Genomic DNA, 19,159 nt, shown 5'->3' with positions numbered 1-19,159 from the left:
GATAACTTATTTAAAAAACAAAATCAAAGACATTTCATCCTTTAAATAGGGCTGCCATTAGAAGGAGGCCCACTTGTGAAATAGAAGGTACTCACTATATTGTTAAAAACGGGACTATAGAGACTATCTTTTAAATATAGAACATTAACACAAGTTAGACATAGATAGACAGAGAAGGTAGCTGGTATGGCAGACATAGCAACTACTTGCCAACATCTACGCTCGTCTCTTTTTCCAGACATGTGGAAGGATTACAACTTCTCCACCTTTTTGAATTTGAGTATGGTGGTATGATTTATTCTAATTAATGAAATATGAACAAAGGTAATGAATGTCACCTCGGGGTAGAAGTATATAAGAGGTGATGTGCGGTTCTCTTGCCCTGCTCCTCTGACTGGAGAGACTATGGGTTTCACATGTCACAGCCCAGCTGGCAGAGCATCTCTCAGCCTAGGTCTCCAGTGTGCTGTGTAGAAGACCATTGACCTGGAGAGTTGTCTGGTCCTGGACAAGACCTACCTGAACAAGAAATAAATTTTTGTTTCGGTACACCACAAAAATTATGGTGCTGTCTGTCACTACAACATCCTCCAGATTTTTAACATAGTTGGTATATGTCATAGCCCAAAATACAAAAGACTTGAGTTTGGCATGAGCCCTTGGTAAGCAGGCTAAAGCAGGAAACCAAAAGGTAATTTATGGTAGTATTGAGTACTTGCTAAAGTGAACTTATGGATCAGGTGGTACAAGTCAGCCCATTTTGAGCTCAGGCTTTGCAATTTGCCCATTGCATTGTTTTGAGCAAAGTTAATTTACATCTCTCAATTTCCCCACTTGTAAAATGAAAATTATAATCCAAAAATAGATTGGGGTTATGTCTATAGTAAGATTATGTCTACAAAGAGTTTAGTATAGTTGATCCTTAACACATTTTGTTCTCTTCTCATATTTTTCCTTTATTCATATAAGCACCTACTATATTCCAGGAAAGAAAAGCTAATGTAGTAGGCATTGAGCCTACCGCAATGGACAAAGCAAAAAAATCTATCTCCATGTATGGCAATGGGCTGCAAATAACTGGGCATTCAACCAGGGGAATTGCACGGTTAGTGACTTTCCGCAGGAGGTATCTAATAAGACCTTTAAATGCTTTTAAAAATTCAGCATAGTGTAGGGGCTAAACAATACATTTACCCTTCTTTAGCGGGAAATAGGATCAGGCTGCAAACTGCAGGAGGTAAGGAATATTACTCATCTGATTCACAGTTACATGTTCAGTGCTTTGCATAAAGCCTAACCACAAGTAGAAACTTTGCAAATATTTGTTAAATTGATAAATAAGTGAACACATTGAAAGAGCACCAACTCAGAGAACAGAATAAAATGCATTGATCACAGCCTATTTTCTTCCCTTATTTTTTTTAAAGCTCTTCTTTGGGTGTTAAAGGTAGGTAAGTGAGCAAAACAAAGTTCCTGTCACCATGGAGCTTCTCAAGAGACTTAAAATTATTTTTGATGACAGATGGATGGGTGGGCCCACTTATGTTCTGAAAAATCAGATTACTTGGTGATCCTACTTCAGTAGACTTTGGGGAATGGTAGCGTCATCAGAGATTAGTTTAAGTGCTTATAAAATAGTTGGCAGAAGAGTACAAGATTTAAAATGTCTATGGTTTAATTTTCAGAAAGAAAATGGCTGCTGAGGTTTACACTGCAATTTGCACTGCTACATCTGTTATTTGTTTCTACTTATTACCCCATGGGTTAATAATTAAGGCAATTTTGGCTGGACAGGGAAAACTAATAAATTGGGTTTGTTCTAATAACAGTGACTTATCTTCCGCTTTTGATGGGAACAAATAATTACAAAAGCAAAGGGTCAACCCTTAAGTAAACTCCCTGGTGCCGTTAAGGTAAACAAGTCAACTGTTTCAAGGTAAGTTGTGTGGGGTGGTTGGCATGGTGGGAGAAGTGGTTAGTCAGGATACACTTTATGTCCTGCAAGTAAGCAAACTAGTTTTGTATCCTGGATCTTAGGCAAGACATTTCCTGACCAGTGTCCTGTTTTTCTCTTGCTTTCTCATCTGCCTCATGAAAGATGAGAAACTACTCAATATTATGTTTAACAGACCAGGGAGACAGCTTCTATTTGTTTTTATGTAAAGAGTTAATATAATGTATAAAATATCTTGGTCACTATTTCTACGATCTATTATTATCATAAAAAAAATCACATGTATATTGAATTGAAGGAGATTAAATTCAGACTTTAAAAGATTTTCATAATCATAAGGGGTGTTAGGGCCTTGTGGCTAGGAGACCTTGGACAAGATGCCAAAACTCCGCACAATAATATTATATACACCAAGATGTTGTTGAGAGTATTAAGTAAAATGATCCATGTTTAGAGCTTAGCACAATGCATTGTACCCAGTAAATTTTCAATAAAGGTCAGCTGTTGCTATATTAACTATTTTATGGTTATTATTATCAAAGGTTCTCCTAATAATGAAAGAAAGAATACAAAAATGGAGTCATGCTGTCTTACTCATAATCAGGAAAATGGACTGAATTATCTTTCCGTAGCTCTAAAATTAACATTTTTTATTATAGCAAATCTAGCAGTAGAACTTATTTTCTCACAATTATTAAATACAAGTTTCTAATATCTAACATAATAAAGAAGGGTTCAATTTAAATTTAAGCACTTAAATCTTTATCTTCTCACTCTTTGCAAGTAAAAATCACATCCAAATTGTCACCCTTTTTTCTAGTGGTACTGAGAGGTGACAACGTGCTAGCAGCCCTCGCTGGCTCGCGGCACCTTCTCGGCGTCGGCATCCCCTCTGGCGCATCCTCGGCCTCGGCATCCGCTCTCGCCAAGCTCGAGGAGCCCTTCAGCCCGCTGCTGCGCTGGTGGGGGGCGGCCCTCTCTGGGGCTGGCCGAGGCCGGAGCCGGCTCCCTCTGCTCCCGGGGAGGTGTGAAGGGAGAGGCGCGGGCGGGAGCCCGGGCTGTATGCGGCGCTCACGGGCCAGTGCGGGCTCCAGGTGGATGCGGGCTCCGCGGGCCGCCCACTCGGTGCGGCCCGACGGCGCCTGCTGGGCTTGATCCGGGGACCAGCTCCCTCTGGGCTGCCAGAGTGCCCGGGCTAAGTGCCGCAAAGCGTCGTGGCGAACACAGTGAGAGGTGAAGCTGTCTGGGCTTCTGGGTGGGGTGGGGACTTGGTGAACTTTTCTGTCTAGCTAAACGTTTGTAAACGCACCAATCAGCACTCTGCCAAAACGGACCAATCAGCTCTCTGTAAAACAGACCAATCAGCTCTCTGTAAAATGGACCAATCAATAGGATGTGGGTGGGACCAAATAAGGCAATAAAAGCAGGCTACCCAAGCCAGCAGCTGCAGCTTTGGCGGGTCTCCTTCTGCAGTAAGGTAGCTTTGTTGTTTTGCCCTTCACAATAAATCTTGGTGCTGCTTACTCTGAGTCTGCACCGCCTTTAAGGGCTGTAACACTCACCTCAAAGGTCTGCAGCTTCACTCCTGAGGCCAGCAAGACCACAAACCCACTGGAAGGAAGGAACAACTCCAGACATGCTGCCTTTGTGAGCTGTAACACTCACTGTGAAGGTCTGCAGCTTCACTCCTGAAGCCAGTGAGACCATGAACCCACCAGAAGCAATGAACAACTCCATACATGCCACGTTTAAGAGCTGTAACAATCACCATGAAGGTCTGCAGCTTCACTCCTGAAGTCAGCAAGACCATGAACCCACCAGAAGGAAGAAACTCCGGACACATCTGAACATCTGAAGGAACAAACTCCAGACACACCATCTTTAAGAACTGTAACACTCACCATGAGGGTCCGCAGCTTCATTCTTGAAGTCAGCAAGACCAAGAACCCATCAATTCCCAATACAGTACTAACTTTGTTACCTTAACATTTTTTTCTAATTATTTACAAGTGTAAACAGTATGGTGCCAAGTGAGGAAGTTTGCCAGTCAATATTCTTCATATCAAAATTACATGCTAGCGTCGTCTCCTACATGACAAAAATTAACAGGAGCCAGAGTTAGCTCTATATGCCCTGCCATCAACAAAGCAATATTCTATGCCAGAGTCTGTGTGAAAACAGTCCAAACTGCAAACCAAACCAAAAATCCTCGGCAAGACTCCAGTGATGGCACAGCCCAAATGCTTAAACTCTCTGGATGTAGAGGTATACCACTGGCAGCTGTAGGTCACTTGGCCTGCTTTGGTGAGCCAGTGTCTTGACTTCTAATGTTCACTGCAAAAGAAAAGTGAAAACCTGAGCCTGGAATTTTTCTTGACAGATACATGCTATCGTAACTTGTAAGCTGTTTCTTCCAAATTAGGAAATACAAATCTGCTAAATTTCTCTGGGGGCTGAAAACTGATATTTGTCAGTGCATCAAGTGCAAGAAGAGTCATTTATAATGACTGTGCTGCTGCACAGAAAACACAAACCCTGAGAGTTCACAGAAATCCGAATTTTAAAAAAGTGTGTGATGTAGTACCTACCAATTAAAAATGTCTTTTCACACAAAACATTTACAGTTAAGAATATAGGGATGACAGCAAATTCTCAAAGACTGTACTTCTATAAACTCAAGTTTGAGAAATAATTATTTAATGGAGCTCGTTCATTACTGAAAAGCTTCAGCAACCTCAGTAAATACATCCCATGTCTCTACTGGGTAAGTGCTACAAAGCCATAAATACAGTATGTGTTAGAAAAGAAATTGCAGCATTATTATCTAAATTCAACGGAGACAGACGTCTATTAAAACGTTAACTTTAGCTTTGAAGATTGTGTGCAAATATCACTAGTCCAAAAAACATAATTTGTCCATGAACCTGTAGTAGTCTTGCCCACGCTATGAGTTTTCTAGGCTCCTCCTTCCCTCCCATCTACCAGCTGGATTTTTCTTACTCATTCCCCATATCAATAGGTTAACCTAACTAGACAACAGATCCTGCATTGCTGAGAGGGTTCTAATTTCACCACTCTCTCCCCCTACATGGTTTTCAAAATGTCCTTATTTGACTCATTCTGTACTTACTCTAACATCTCATCCTTTTGTTTTCTCATTCATTCTTCCTCTTCAGATCACTCTTTATTTCAGTATAACACGTAGCATTTTCAGCTCTGGTATTTCTCTTTTTATACCTTAAAATTTCATTTTCGACCTCAATTTCATAGTTCTGTGACCCATGTTCTCTGGATTGGTCCCTTGATTTTTGCATCTAACTGCTTTATCTTACCTAGATTGTGTTTCTCATCCTATCTGAACACTCTAGTGAATATCCATGGAAATTTCACACCCTCTGGTCTTTGGCATGGAACTCTTGATTTGGGGTAAAAAGGACACAAGCTTCTGTCCACAAAGCTCCACCACTAACACCAACCAAACAACAATGGAAAAGAGTAGATAGGCTTATGACATTTATTTTAGGCTCCTTGCCTGATTTCTATTAAGACAGCTCTGCTTTCTTTTATGCTTTCTGCACTTGGACCTGCAACTATTTTCATGAGGATGCTAGCTGGAGCTTATGAAAATTCAATGCAGAACACCCGACACCCAAATCTTGATTTCTAATACCTTCTCTGATAAAAAGGAACCAGGAATTTGTAATGCCAGAGGTAAGAAAAAAACAGTGATTAAAAAAAACCAAAACCTATACTAATAGGGGTATGTCGAAAAGACAGAGAAGCCAACTGAAAGTTTCTAATGGCCAAGATGTATAATTTGAAAAAAGAAATAAAGAGATTTTTACTGGATTATGACCCAAAGTGTAAAATAAATATCCATGAATTCATACTGATATAAATAAACTCTCTATTAATAAATGCAGAAGAATTCCAAATAATTTACATAGATACTCTGCCCTCAAGAAGGGGGCACATAACTCTCCACTACCTTGGTTTGTGCTGCACACAGTGACTTCCTTCCAAAGAATACACTATGGAAAGGGCAAAATCTAGTAACTTTACAATGGAGAAAACTGGCAAATACTATCATAGCCAGGATCAAAGTCATTATCAACAGTGATGTTATGTTGATGCTATCAGCATACCCTCTGATATGATGTGGTGAAAATGGCACTTTACCTCCGTGATGGTTAATATTAGGTGTCAACTTGATTGGATTGAAGGATACCTAGACAGCTGGTAGCTGGCAAAGCATTGTTTCTGGGTGTGTCTATGAGGGTGTTGCCAGAGAAGGTTAACATTTGAGTCAGTGGACTGGGAGAGGAAAACCCACCCTCAATGTGGGTAGACACCATCCAATCAGCTGCCTGTAGGGCTAGAACAAAGCAGGAGGAAGAAGGTGGGATAAGTTGGCTTGCTGAGTCTTCCGGCTTTCATCTTTCTCAGGTGCTGGATGCTTTCAGCCCTTGGACATCAAACTCCAGGTTTTTCAGCCTTTGGATTCTTGAACTTACACCAGTGGCTTTCCGGGACTCTGGGGCCTTTGGCCACAGACTGAAGGCTGCACTGTTGTCTTCCCTACTTTTGAGGCTTTTGGACTCAGACTGATCCACCACTGGCTTCTTTCTTCCCCAGCTTGCAGGCGGCCTATTGTGTACTTCACCTTGTGATCACGTGAATCAATTCTCTTTAATAAGCTCCTTTCATGTATATATGTATCCTATTAGTTCTGTCCCTCTGGAGAACACTGACTAATGCTACTTCTATAGTGTTTCTCCCCAAAACACATTAACTCCAGTTCTATCTTGAGGAAAAAACACAGATAAATTCCAAAGAAAGGCATTCCACAAAGCACCTGACCAATTCTCTTCAAAACCGTTAAGGTCATTGAAAGCAAAAAAGGTTGCAGAAACTGTCCCGGTCAAGAGGAGCTTAAGACAACTAAAATGTGCTATGGAATCCTGGATGGCATCCTGGAACAGAAGAAGGACACTGAGTAAAAACTAAGGAAATCTGAATATAGTATGAATTTTAATTAATGATCATCTATCAATATCAATGCATTAATTGTAACAAGGGTACCATACTACTAATAATGTAAGCTGTTAGTAATAGGAGAAACTGGGTGTAGGACATATGGACATATGGAAACTATGATATCTTCTCAATTTTTCTACAAATCTAAAACTAATCTAAATGTAAACCTAAAAAATAAAGTCTGTTTAAAAATTCAATGCAAATCAAGTGGAGAAAGAAGAGGACAAGTAAAAGTGGTGTTTCGGGAGTTGTCTCTAGGAGGATTTGGAAAATAAAGGAAGCATCTGCAACAAAATATGAATCCCAGAGATGTTTCCCCCAGGAGTGTGAGACAGGTCTGGAGAATGTCTGTACTTTGATAAAAATGAAGTTTACGCCAGGTCCTTTCCCTGCATCAGCACTCTCCCCTCTGTCTGCAGGACTTTCAACCATCTCATGGGTCAGGTTTCAAATTTAACTTTACATTTGCAGAGAAGCTTTCACAGACTCTTCAGATGAGGTTAGGTCTCCCAGGGTTGGTCCCCAGCCTCTTCTACTTCTTTTTTATAGCATGTTTTTGTTGGAGGAGGATAAGGAAATTATTTAATACCCTTTCTCACAAGGCTACAAGCTCCAGGAAAGCAGAATGTGTAGTGTTCGGTAGACAACAGGTACTTAATACACATGGTTCATTGATCATCTGTTAAGGTGAATTCCAGGAGTAAGGGAAGCCACAGGCACAATGGCTCATGCCTGTAATCCCAGCACTTTGGGAGGCCAAGGCAGACAGACCTCTTAAGCCCAGGAGTTCAAGACCAGCTTGGGCAACATGACGAGACACCATCTCTACTAAAAATACAAAAATTAGCCTGGCATGGTGGCGTGCACCTGCAGCCCCAGCTACTCGGGAGGCTGAGGTGGGAGGATTGCTTGAGCAGGGGAGGCTGAGGCTTCAGTGACCCTTGATCGTGCCACTGCACTGAACCCTGAGTGACAGAGCAAGACACTGTCTCAAAAAAACAAGAATACTAAGAAAAAAAAAAAGGAAAAGGAAGCCATGCTCACGTGAAAGATGATGTAGATATAATTCCAGATTAGATTGTGTAAAGTGCAGGGGCAAAATATTAGAAATGCTATGCTTAGTTTGATCATCCAACCATATATTATGTTTTAGACATGACATTGGTAATGAAAAATACTTTCAAAAAATTTACTAAAATTTAATGCAAAACACCCAACACCCAAATCTTGATTTCTAATACCTTCTCTGGTAAAAAGAACCATGGATTTGTAATGTCAGAGGTAAGAGAAAAACAGTGATTAAAATAACCTCTATATTAATAGGGGTATGTCAAAGAGACAGAGAAGCCAATCAGTGTTAGTTGCTCAGGAATGTATTCTAACTTTAATAAAAGCACTACTTGAGTCTATTTATGGAATTTTAAAATAGCAATAATAACTTTTATGTATTTAGTAGTTACTCTATACCAAGCGATGTGTTAAGCACTTTGTTGAAAATTATTTTTTTTAATCTTCACAGCAATCCTGTGATGATAATAGCTAAGTGATATCCAGCACTTGCTGAAAGCACATTGTACACATTAGCTCATTAAGTAATCCCCCCATATTCTTTTTTTTAATATTTTAACTTTTATTTTAGGTTCAGGAATACATGTGCATGTTTGATTATATAGGTAAACTCATGACTCGGGGGTTTGATGTACAGATTATTTTGTCACCCGGATACTAAGTATAGTACTCAACGGTTTTGTGGAGTTTGTTCTGAACCTCTCTCTCCTCCCATCCTCCTTCCTCAAGTAGGCCATAATGTCTGTTGTTTCCCTCTTTCTGCCCATGTGTTCTCATTATTTAGCTTCCACTTATAAGTGAGAGCATGAGGTATTTCGTTTTCTGTTCTTGCATTAGTTCACAAGGATAATGGTCTCCAGCTCCATCCTGTTCCTGCAAAGGACATGATCTCATTCTTTTTTATGGCCTCATAGAATTCTATGGTGTATATGTACCACATTTTCTCTATCCAATCTTCCACTGATGGGCATTTAGGTTGATTCCATGTCTTTGCTACTGTGAATAGTGCTGTAATGAACATACATGTTCATGTGTCTTTATGGTAGAATGATTTACATTCCTTTGGGTATATGTCCAGTAATGGGATTGTGGATCGAATGGTAGTTCTGTTTTTAGCTTTTTAAGGAATTGTCAGACTACTTTCCATGATATTTGAACTAATTTACATTCTCACCAGCAGTGTGTAACTGTTCCCTTTTCTCCAGCACCTGTTATGTTTTTACTTTTTAATAATAGCCATTCTGACTGGTGTGAGACGGTATCACATTGTTGTTTTGATTTGCATTTCTCTGATTATCAGTGATATTGAGATTTTTTACATACTTATTGGCTGCATGCATGTCTTCTTTTGAAAAGTGTCTGTTCATGTCCTCTGCCCACTTTTTAGTGGGGTTATTTTTTGTTTGTATGTTTGTTTAAGGTCCTTGTACATTCTGGATATGAGATGTTTGTCAGATGTATAGTTTGCAAATATTTTCTTCCTTTCTGTAGGTTGCCTGTTTACTTGTTGGTGGTTTCTTTTGCTGTACAGAAGCTCTTGAATTAGGTCTCATTTGTCGATTGTTCCTTTTGTTGCAATTGCTTTTAGCATTTTTGTCATGAAGTCTTTGCCAGTTCCTGTGTCCAAAATGGTACTTCCTAGGTCTTTAATCCATCTTGAGTTGATTTTTGTATATGATGTAAGGAAGGAGTCCAGTTTCAATATTCTGTATATGGCTAGCCAGTTACCCTAGCACCATTTATTGAATAGAGAGTTTTTCCCCATTGCTTGTTTTTGTTAGCTTTGTCAAAAATCGGATGGTTGTAGATGTGTGGCTTTATTTCTGGTCTATGTGTCTTTTTTCATACTAGTACCATGCTATTTTGGTTACTGTAGCCTTATAGTACACTTCAAAGTCAGGCAATCTGATTCCTCTGTCTTTGTTATTTTGCTTAGGATTGACTGGCCTACTCAGGCTCTTTTTTGATTCCATATGAGTTTTAGAACAGTTTTTTCTAGTTCTGTAAATAATGTCACTGGCAGCTTGATAGAAATAACATTGAATCTATACATTACTTTGGGCAGCATGGCCTTTTTTTTTTTTTTTTTTGAAACACAGTTTCCCTCTGTCACCTAGGCTGGAGTGGAGTGGCATGGTCTCAGCTCACTAACCTCCACCTCCTGGGCTCAAGTGATTCTCATGCCTCAGCCTCCCGAGTAGCTGGGATTACATGCGCACACTACCATGCATGGCTAATTTTTGTATATTTAGTAAAGACAGGGTTTCACCATGTTGGCCAGGCTGGTCTTAAACTCCTGGCTTCAAGTGATCCGCCTGCCTTGGCCTCCCAAAGTGCTAGGATTACAGGTGTGAGACACTGCACCCAGACAGTATGGCCAGTTTAATGATATTGATTCTTCCTATTCATGAACATAAAATGTTCTTCCATTTGTTTGTATCATCTCTGATTTCTTTGAGCAGTGCTTTGTAATTCTCATTGTAGAGATCTTTCACCTCCCTGCTTAGCTGTATTCCTAGGTATTTTATTATTTTTGTGGCAGTTGTGAATAGGATTGTGCTCCTGATTTGGTTCTTGGCTTGGATGATGTTAGGGTATAGGAATGCCACTGTTTTTGCACATTGATTTTGTACCCTGCCTGAATCTTTGCTGAAGTTGCTGAAGGAGTTTTGGGGTAGAGACTGTGGGGTTTTCTCGGTGTAGAATCATGTCATCTGCAAACAAGGATAGTTTGAGTTCCTTTCTTCTTATTTGGATGCCTTTTATTTCTTTCTCTTGCCCAACTGCTCTGGCCAGAAATTCCAATACTATGTTAAATAGGAGTGGTGAGAGAGGGCATCCTTGCCTTGTTCCTGTTTTCAAGGGGAATGCTTGCAGCTTTTACCCACTCAGTACGATGTTGGCTGTGGGTTTGTCATAGATGGCTCTTATTATTTTGAAGTATGTTCCTTCAGTGTCTAGTTTATTGAGGGTTTTTAACATGAAAGGATGTTGAATTTTATTGAAAGCCTTTTTGGTATCTATTGAGATAATCATGTGGTTTGGGTCTTCAGTTTTGTTTACGTGATGAATCACATTTATTGATTTGCGTATGTTGAACCAACCTTGCATCCCAGGGATAAAGCCTACTTGATCTTGGTGGATTAACTTTTTGATGTGCTGCTGGGTTCAGTTTGCTAGTATTTTGTTGAGGATTTATGCATCTATGGTCATCAAGGATATTGCCCTTTAGTTTTCTTTTTTTTAATATAGTGTCTCTGCCTGATTTTGGTATCAAGATGATGTGGCCTCATCACCCTTCCAAACTGTATGAGGTCAACTCTACTATTTAATAGTGGATGATACCAAAGAACATAAAAGTATCATTGTTTACCCAAAGTAACAAAACCCACTGAGCTGGGATTTAAAGAAGGGCAAGAAAAGGAGAAGGAAAGGGGAAGCTCTGCACTTAACCATTTTCCTCCATTGCCTCATCGTGAGCCCATAGGCTGAGTGTTATTTTCTAAACTTTTCAGATTAAACGACAACAACAACTGAGTCTCCGAAAGACATAGTTGTTTGTCCCAAATCACATAGTAAGTTACACAAACCATCCCAGGCTCCAGGCTTTATCTGACTCAGGTTCTTAACCACTGTTCTACATAGTTTCTTGACATTACAGATTTCTGGGACAACAAGATCTATATGTTTACCATATACTATACAAGTCATTATTATTCTATTTATCCTGTTTATCTTCTTCAAGTTTAAAGCATTGTCTTCTATTTTAAAAGTCCCAAATAGGATTAGCATACAATATACCTTACTGAACAATAAGCTTCACCTTATCATACCCCTTGGACCTTTCAAAGGATGCACTGCTGGGTTTCTTGGTATTCTCCTTTAAGGCCTTATGTTCCACTAATAGTAACCGTCATTGTACCAAAAACAACTATATCCCTTTGATTATTTGTGTTTCTCAGATCCTGGACCACTCTGGTAGTTTTAGTTCATCCTTTAAGGAGAGTGACTTATATTGCTTGCACTATACTAAAATCACTCATAATTTATGGCTTTGGTAAATTGAAAGAATTACTGTCAGCCTTATTTCCTGTACATTTTTGGTGATTCACTGTAGAAGCACAGCTACACACTGGCTGAACTCTTCAAGAAAAAAGTTTTCTTTCCCTCTGTGTTTAATTCATAGGACCATGTACTTCGTCTAGGTACTTATACTAGGCAGCCTTGAGAATTCAGTTCTCATCTTACTGCAAGCTTCCTAGAGGAAAGACTGTTTCTTACGTATTTTTGTATTTCTCACAATGTCTAGCACAGTATCTTGTATTTTGTGGATATTCAATAAAAGTTGGCTGATTTGAAGGAAGTTTAACATATCATTGAGGAGAGTTTCCCCATCTTTTTGACAGAGAGAGCTCCAAAGTACATATTTTCTTAATCTTTGTGTTTCCCTCCTTGTAGCTTAGTGCTTGGTAGCAGACGGAAACCTTCAGTAAATGTTTGTTAATGCATATAGATGTTAATGCATCTAGAATGCATCTGTTCATACTTATTTGTGCAATCCATTATCACACAATTTACACTTTTTTTCAGTTTCATAAACATTTAAGAACATAGAATCAAATAAGCAATTCTGGTTTGGTTCTCTGTTCTGCCAATTACTTGGCATATGATCTTGGAAAATATAATTTGCCTCTTTAAGTCTCAGTCTCTTTACCTGTAAAATGAGGAAAATAAGATTAACCACCTAATTAAATAATTCTAAGGACTGTATGAGATAATAAATCTGAAATAATATGTTTCTGGCACATAATAAATACTCAAGAAATGTTTCTTAAACAATACTAATGTTAGTTATAAGGTAATTTAAATATATGACATTTAGAGATTGTAAATAGCTAAATAAATAGTGGATATAGTTATACATATTATTGTAATGATAGTGATGTTGCTATTGATGGCATAGAAAAGTCATAGACCTAGGGAAACAAAGGAAAGAGAAAGGAGGGGCCTATTTAAGATACTCAGTTAGAAAAGACAGTTATGTCTGTGTCCTGAAAGGGCTTCTGAAGTCAGGACATGCCCATAGGAGACCCCAGGAATCCTCTCCTCTCTCCCTCTCTAACCTTTCCCTTGGCCTCCTCTGCTTTTGCTTCTTGACCTGCTACACACCATCAGAACTTTTTTGTAGAATGGTGTGGGCTTGTTTGTTCATGCTTAATTCTTAGGAAAGCAATTCCAAATATGCTGCACTTTTCAAGCAATCTGTAGAGACTGGAATAATAGAGAGGATTGTGTTATTTAGCCAAAGAATAGCTTTTTCTTTTGTTTTTATCCATCAAGGAATGAATACTATCTGAGCTGAACTAAAATGCCTGAGTCACTGTTAAGTCACACATTCTGAGCATTTTTCCAGGACCATGAAGGAAGCCATTCTGCTGACATAGGAAAAGCAGGGAAAGTTAGAGGGTATTAAAAGTACATAAACATTTTAATGAATCTTCTGCAATTTTATGCTATTGTTGAATATGACCATGTTAAACTACTAATCAGAAATATGTTTTTCTGATAAACCAATCATATTTTGAGAAACGTTTATCTAAATATGTGATAATAGTTGATTTATCAACTAAATGTTTAACTATACACACACTTATTTAAAATCTGAATAAAATATTTAACAACTACTAAAAAGATGTATTAAAAAGCAAGTAAATTGAGGATACAAGGAAACAAAAATCTCACCTACTTCCACCGGGAATCTGATTAGGTAGATTCTTCCTAGAGCTAATTCACCATGATTTTAAAATATCCTTTTTCTACAACATACAGTACAATATAATACATTAAAAAAAAAACACTGGAAAGGCCATACTCAATAATGTGAACAGTGAAATTCTTTTAGTAAAATGGTTAAGTGCAGTTTTAATTTTTACTTTCTGGATTTTCAAATTGCCAACAGTAAGCATGTATTAAATTTGAGTGCTATTGCTGCATTGGCTATGGCTATCAATGGATTTCAAAATTTCTTCAAAAGAAAAAGCAAATGAGAAATTGTAAAAGAAATGATGTAAATTAATGTAATGTTAATAAATGATATAAATTAATCATACTCAGTGAAAAAGGAAACTCAGGCTTTACTGAGGGTGGCCAGTACAGTAGTATCATCTTATAAATGTACATAATAGTAAATTAAATTTTTGACATTTGGTAATTTAGCTGATGTAAATGCAGGTTAGCTCAAGAAAAATTAAAAAGGATTACTCTGGAAAAAAAATTTCAAGGGAGAAAAATTATCTGTGTATTGTTGGGATCTTTTTCCCACTTATTTTCTGGGCACAGGGGAGATGTGTCATGAGTAATAAAATGAAAAGTGTTTTATTCAGCTGAAATTTTCTTAGCAAGGAAACTAGGTTTACTTGGGAGAAATAATTTAATGGATGCAAGAGTGAAATGGGATAAGCCTGCCCTGCACTAGTCAAAGGAAAGATGCTCTGTTGAGCCCAAGAATGAAGGGGACCACGGAAAAGGGCTCACAGAAGCAGACATGGTGGAAGTCTAGTAGCCTGAGATTTGATCGCTAGATATTAATTACCAATAATAATAGCTAATACCTGTTAAGCATTTACCATGTGCCAGGCAGGTACTACACCAAGTCCACTACATGTTCTAAATCATTTAATTCCTCTAACTACTCTTAATGTTTGGGTTCACAAATTCATGATTTGTGGGAGATTGGTATATTGGGTTTCCTGTATAGACACTGACACCTGGAGGCAGAAGGAAATATGAGGAAGCAAGTTTGGGAACTGTACAAACCAGGAAAGATCTGGCAAATCCTATACAGTTTAGGATTAGGACAATTATAACCAGATCTTGATGAGAAAATAAGTTCCAACTAATATAAGCAATATACTTATCTGAAAAGCTTTTAGGCTGTAGGATAACAAAAGAAGAAAGTTTGTCAATTGTTTTTCCTACTAGAAGGGGGCAAAGAGGTCCAGTAGAAAGAATATTGGCTTTGGAGTCAGAAAAGCACAGATTCCAAGATTTACTCTGCCCTTCACTGAATGTGTGACCTTAGGCAAGTCACTCAACTTATTTAAACAACACTTTACCTATATCTGGGGCCAGCTTCATGATCCTGACATCTTCACGATCGCATAGGATGCTGAGCTTTGAAGGGCACTTGCCTTGGTTTAATGCTTTGCCATTGCCACCTTAAAATTCTTAATAATTTTGAACAAGGGTCCCCACATTTTGTTGTATGCTGGCCCTGCTAGTTATCTAGGCCATCCTGCCTATCTAGAAATTGAGAATAACAATACCTACACCACAGATCAGCAGGAAATTTCCCAGGTTGAGTACCCATGAAGGAACCTGCCATACAGAACTCAGGATTCCTCCTTCTTGGCTTAAGGCACAAAACAGCTAAGACCAATGTACTTTTAGCTCCAGGCTACGATTCTTTGTCCAAAAAAAAAGCTGAGAGGAGAAAGAAGTGGAGAAAGAAAATGTCTACACCTAGAAAGCACCCAATAAACTACAAGAATGCACATAAAAATTTTATCATAGGCACTGTCAGGATCTACTGCCTAATTAAATGTGTTTCTAGCCTGGGAGTGTGATAGTGCCATTCACCTAGCCCAGGTTTCTCAACCTGGATGTCATAGGATGTTCAGCATACTGGCCTCTACCCACTAGATGCCAGTAGCAGACCCCTCAGTTATGGGAATCGAAATGTATCCAGACATTTCCAAATGTCCCCTGTGGAGGAAAGCCACTCCCAAGTGAGACCCAGTGACCTAGATGGTGAGGGAAAAAGAAAGAGCAATGTTGGCGCAGGACACCAGCCACAGAATCTTCTACTGAGATCAACATATAGATTGCTGGGCTACAGAAGCCATACTACCTGGAAGTTTCCTCCCATCTCAGCCATCCCAGTGGGCGTCTCCTAGGCAATGGGATTGGTGAATCACAATCTTCCACCAGGAAACTGCAGTGGAAAATAACTGGACAAAAAGGGTGCTGTGGCTGAATTACTATAGAATTAATGTGTTTTAAATGATATTTTAAAATACGGAAAGAGAAAAAGGCAGATTCAGAGTAGTGTTTTATGGATGAGTGCAGTGGCTCATGCCTGTAATCCCAGCAATTTGGGAGACTGAGGTGGGAAGATCACTTGAGCTCAGCAGCTTGAGACCAGCCTGGGCAACATGGTGAAACCCCATCTGTACAGAAAATACAAAAATTAGCAGGATGTGGTGGCATGTACGTGTAGTCCCGCTACTTGGAGGGGCTGAGGCAGGAGGATAGCTTGACCCCGGGAGGTCGAGGCTGCATTGAGTTGAGATCGCGCCACTGCACTCCAGCCTGGGTGACAAAGTGAGACCATGTTTCAAAAAAAAAAGTAATGTTTTATAATATATTAATAGATGTTACATATGCATATATATGCATATAAACCTATACATACCTATGCTATACACACACACACACACACACACATACTTAGGAATAGGAAAAAGAATGGAAGAATATGCAGGACAATTTTAATTGTGGTTCTTTCTGGACAATTTTTATTTTCTTCTTTATGCTTATCTACATTTACACAATAAAATGAGGAAAATCTATAATAGATGTTATTTTTAGGCTGGAAATACATGAAATTTTAAGATATTAGAGTATTTTTCATGCAGTGAAAGATTAAAGAAATTAAAGCAATAGAGACAGAATTCCATTAAAAAAAATCTTACCCAAAACATTGATTCCATGGGCTGTGACTATTTCAACATTCTGAAAGATAAAACTAGAATAAGGTTTTGCTGCATTGTTTGCAATAGATTTAATTAAATAAAAAGTTTTATATGAAAGTCAGCAGGCCCTGACTATAGAAGAATCAATATTTATGACACAGTCCCGATCTTCTTGTTTATTCTTTGTGGTGTCATTATGCAGATGCTATATCAGATTAAACATCTGATTAAACTCAGGCGGTTGGGCTGACATTTTTTGGTATTTTGGAAAACAGCAATAATCATTTTTCCCCACAAAGGAACTAGCAGGCTAGAGGTTAAAATCTGATTTTCAAAGGGACAGAATCAACAAGCAGAAATAACCTTGCACCCAAGCAAGGAGTAGGCATCACGAAAATGAAGGACTCTTTAATATGTATATCAGCTCTTTCTCAGGATGTTCTAATAACATTCTTACTGTAACAATCTTACAATATGTTGATTAGATTTGGGTTAAAATTTTGAGACTACTCATCATTGAACAAATGACTTTGGCAAATGATTTAACTTCCCCAAATCTCAGTTCCCCATTTGTAAAAAAGACACAAAATTGTTTCTGCCTCATTCGGTTATTGTGAGGATTAAATGAAATAATTCATGCAAGACATTCATAATCTTAGCAATTATCATTATTACCATCATTAACACATCCAGAAAAGCCAACTTGCTGGGCAAAAGTTACTATGATAATTGTCACAGAGAAGGAATGCTTCTCAGATGCAGATGCCCATGGCAGTGACAGTAGTTCCCAAGGGAAGCAGCAGTAACTCCCATGATGCCCAAAGGCTCTGTCTGAAGCCAGTACAAGAGCTCATAATAAAGCTAACTATTTTTGGCAGCAGTGAACAAGCTCCTAGATAATAACTTCCATCCCTCACTTTTCCAAGCCTCATGATTGTGAGGGAGGCAGACAGAAGAGGAGGGTGTTATTAACCTAATGACACTCTCACAGGTGCAACTTGCTTTTCATAGCATCAAATCTCTGCATGACCTCCAGTGCCCTGAACCACTCACTCTTTCCCTCCCACAGAGTCCTCCACATCCATGCCTATAACTGACTTCACCTAGCCTGGATGCCATAGCTACCCATCTCATTCACACATTCAGTACCAACTAAAAATGCTACATATTTGGGAGTCCCTGATCCTTCTAGCTGGCCAGTCCCTAGTCTATTTCATCCACTCCAGGACCAATGAGTACTGCTTTATTCAGGTTCACTTGTTCATATGGTAAGTATTTATTTAACAGCTAATAGAAAATAATATATACTAGGTGCTGGGGTTGGGGGAGTGGCTGTCAGAAAAGGCAACACATATTTTTTCTTTCACATCTTACAAACTACCAGGGAAAAAACAGATATCAAACAAGCAATTATAAGCATGCTTATCTGTCAGTGTAGAATCACTGTCCATTTGGTTTTCTTTAAGGTATCTGGAAAAGCATGACCATTGAAGAAGACCAAGCTGGGATCTAATCTTTGTTCTGCTGTGTTCTTGCTGTGTGACCTGGGGCATATAAATGTTACATTTCTGATCTTTAGTTTTCTCATGTTAAAAAGTAGGGATGAAAAATACCTATTTCACAGAATTTCTGTAAACCTTAAATAAGAGAGTGCAGGAGAGGGCTGTGGTATCATAAAGAATCTGTATGGTCTTTGTTCCAGATTCACGGGACAGAGTTCCAAAAATTCTCAGAATGTTCACGGTGATTATCCTAATGAGTGATCATCCACATTATCCTAATGAGGGGACTCGTGGTAGGCCTCTAGATAACTTTAGAATGGGGACAGTCACCTTGAAAGACTAACCACACAATTAGAAGTTTGGGGCTTTCAGCCACCTGACTCCAGGGGAGTGGAGTGGGGCTGGAGACAGAAAATTTGCATTCCATTTCAGACCTCATTCTGTGTGTCCCATATTTAGCTAGCACTCCTGACTTGTATTCTTTGTAATGAAACTATAATTCTAATTATAGTACTTTCCTGAGTTTTGTAAGCCATTCTAGCAAATTATTGAACTGAAGCGCTCATGAAAACCCCAAAACGTATAGTCAGTCTTTCAGGAGTGCAGGTGGTCTGGAGACCCCCCACCTCAGTGCTGCTGGTGTCTGAAGTAAGAGCAGCCTTGTCGGAGACCATACCTTTAACCTATAGAGCCTGTACCACCAACTCCAGATGGTTAGTTCCAGGACTGAATTGCAATACATCCAGTAGGGCTTGAAATGGACTAGGGGCTCAGATCAGTACCCAGCCACGTGATTGGCCATTTGTACCTGCCAATTACCTCATGACACCACTCCAATTCCATTA

The 19,159-nt window shown here is 38.9% G+C and overlaps 1 long non-coding RNA gene across 2 annotated transcripts in view; it reads right to left on the bottom strand.

Annotated features, from left to right (window-relative positions):
- Window positions 1-16,610: 16,610 nt before the first annotated feature.
- Window positions 16,611-19,159, bottom strand: part of MIR2052HG (MIR2052 host gene) — a 158,596-nt gene continuing 156,047 nt past the window's right edge. Inside the window, exon 6 of one of the 2 annotated variants that reach the window (NR_033830.1) lies at window positions 16,611-18,356. This is a non-coding gene — a long non-coding RNA (MIR2052 host gene). The remainder of the gene's footprint in view (window positions 18,357-19,159) is intronic. The other variant, NR_197229.1, reaches the window with a different exon arrangement.

The sequence above is a fragment of the Homo sapiens genome, chromosome 8, assembly GCF_000001405.40.
Source record: "Homo sapiens chromosome 8, GRCh38.p14 Primary Assembly".
Lineage (NCBI taxonomy): Eukaryota > Metazoa > Chordata > Mammalia > Primates > Hominidae > Homo > Homo sapiens.
This window is presented reverse-complemented; position numbering and strand designations above follow the sequence as displayed.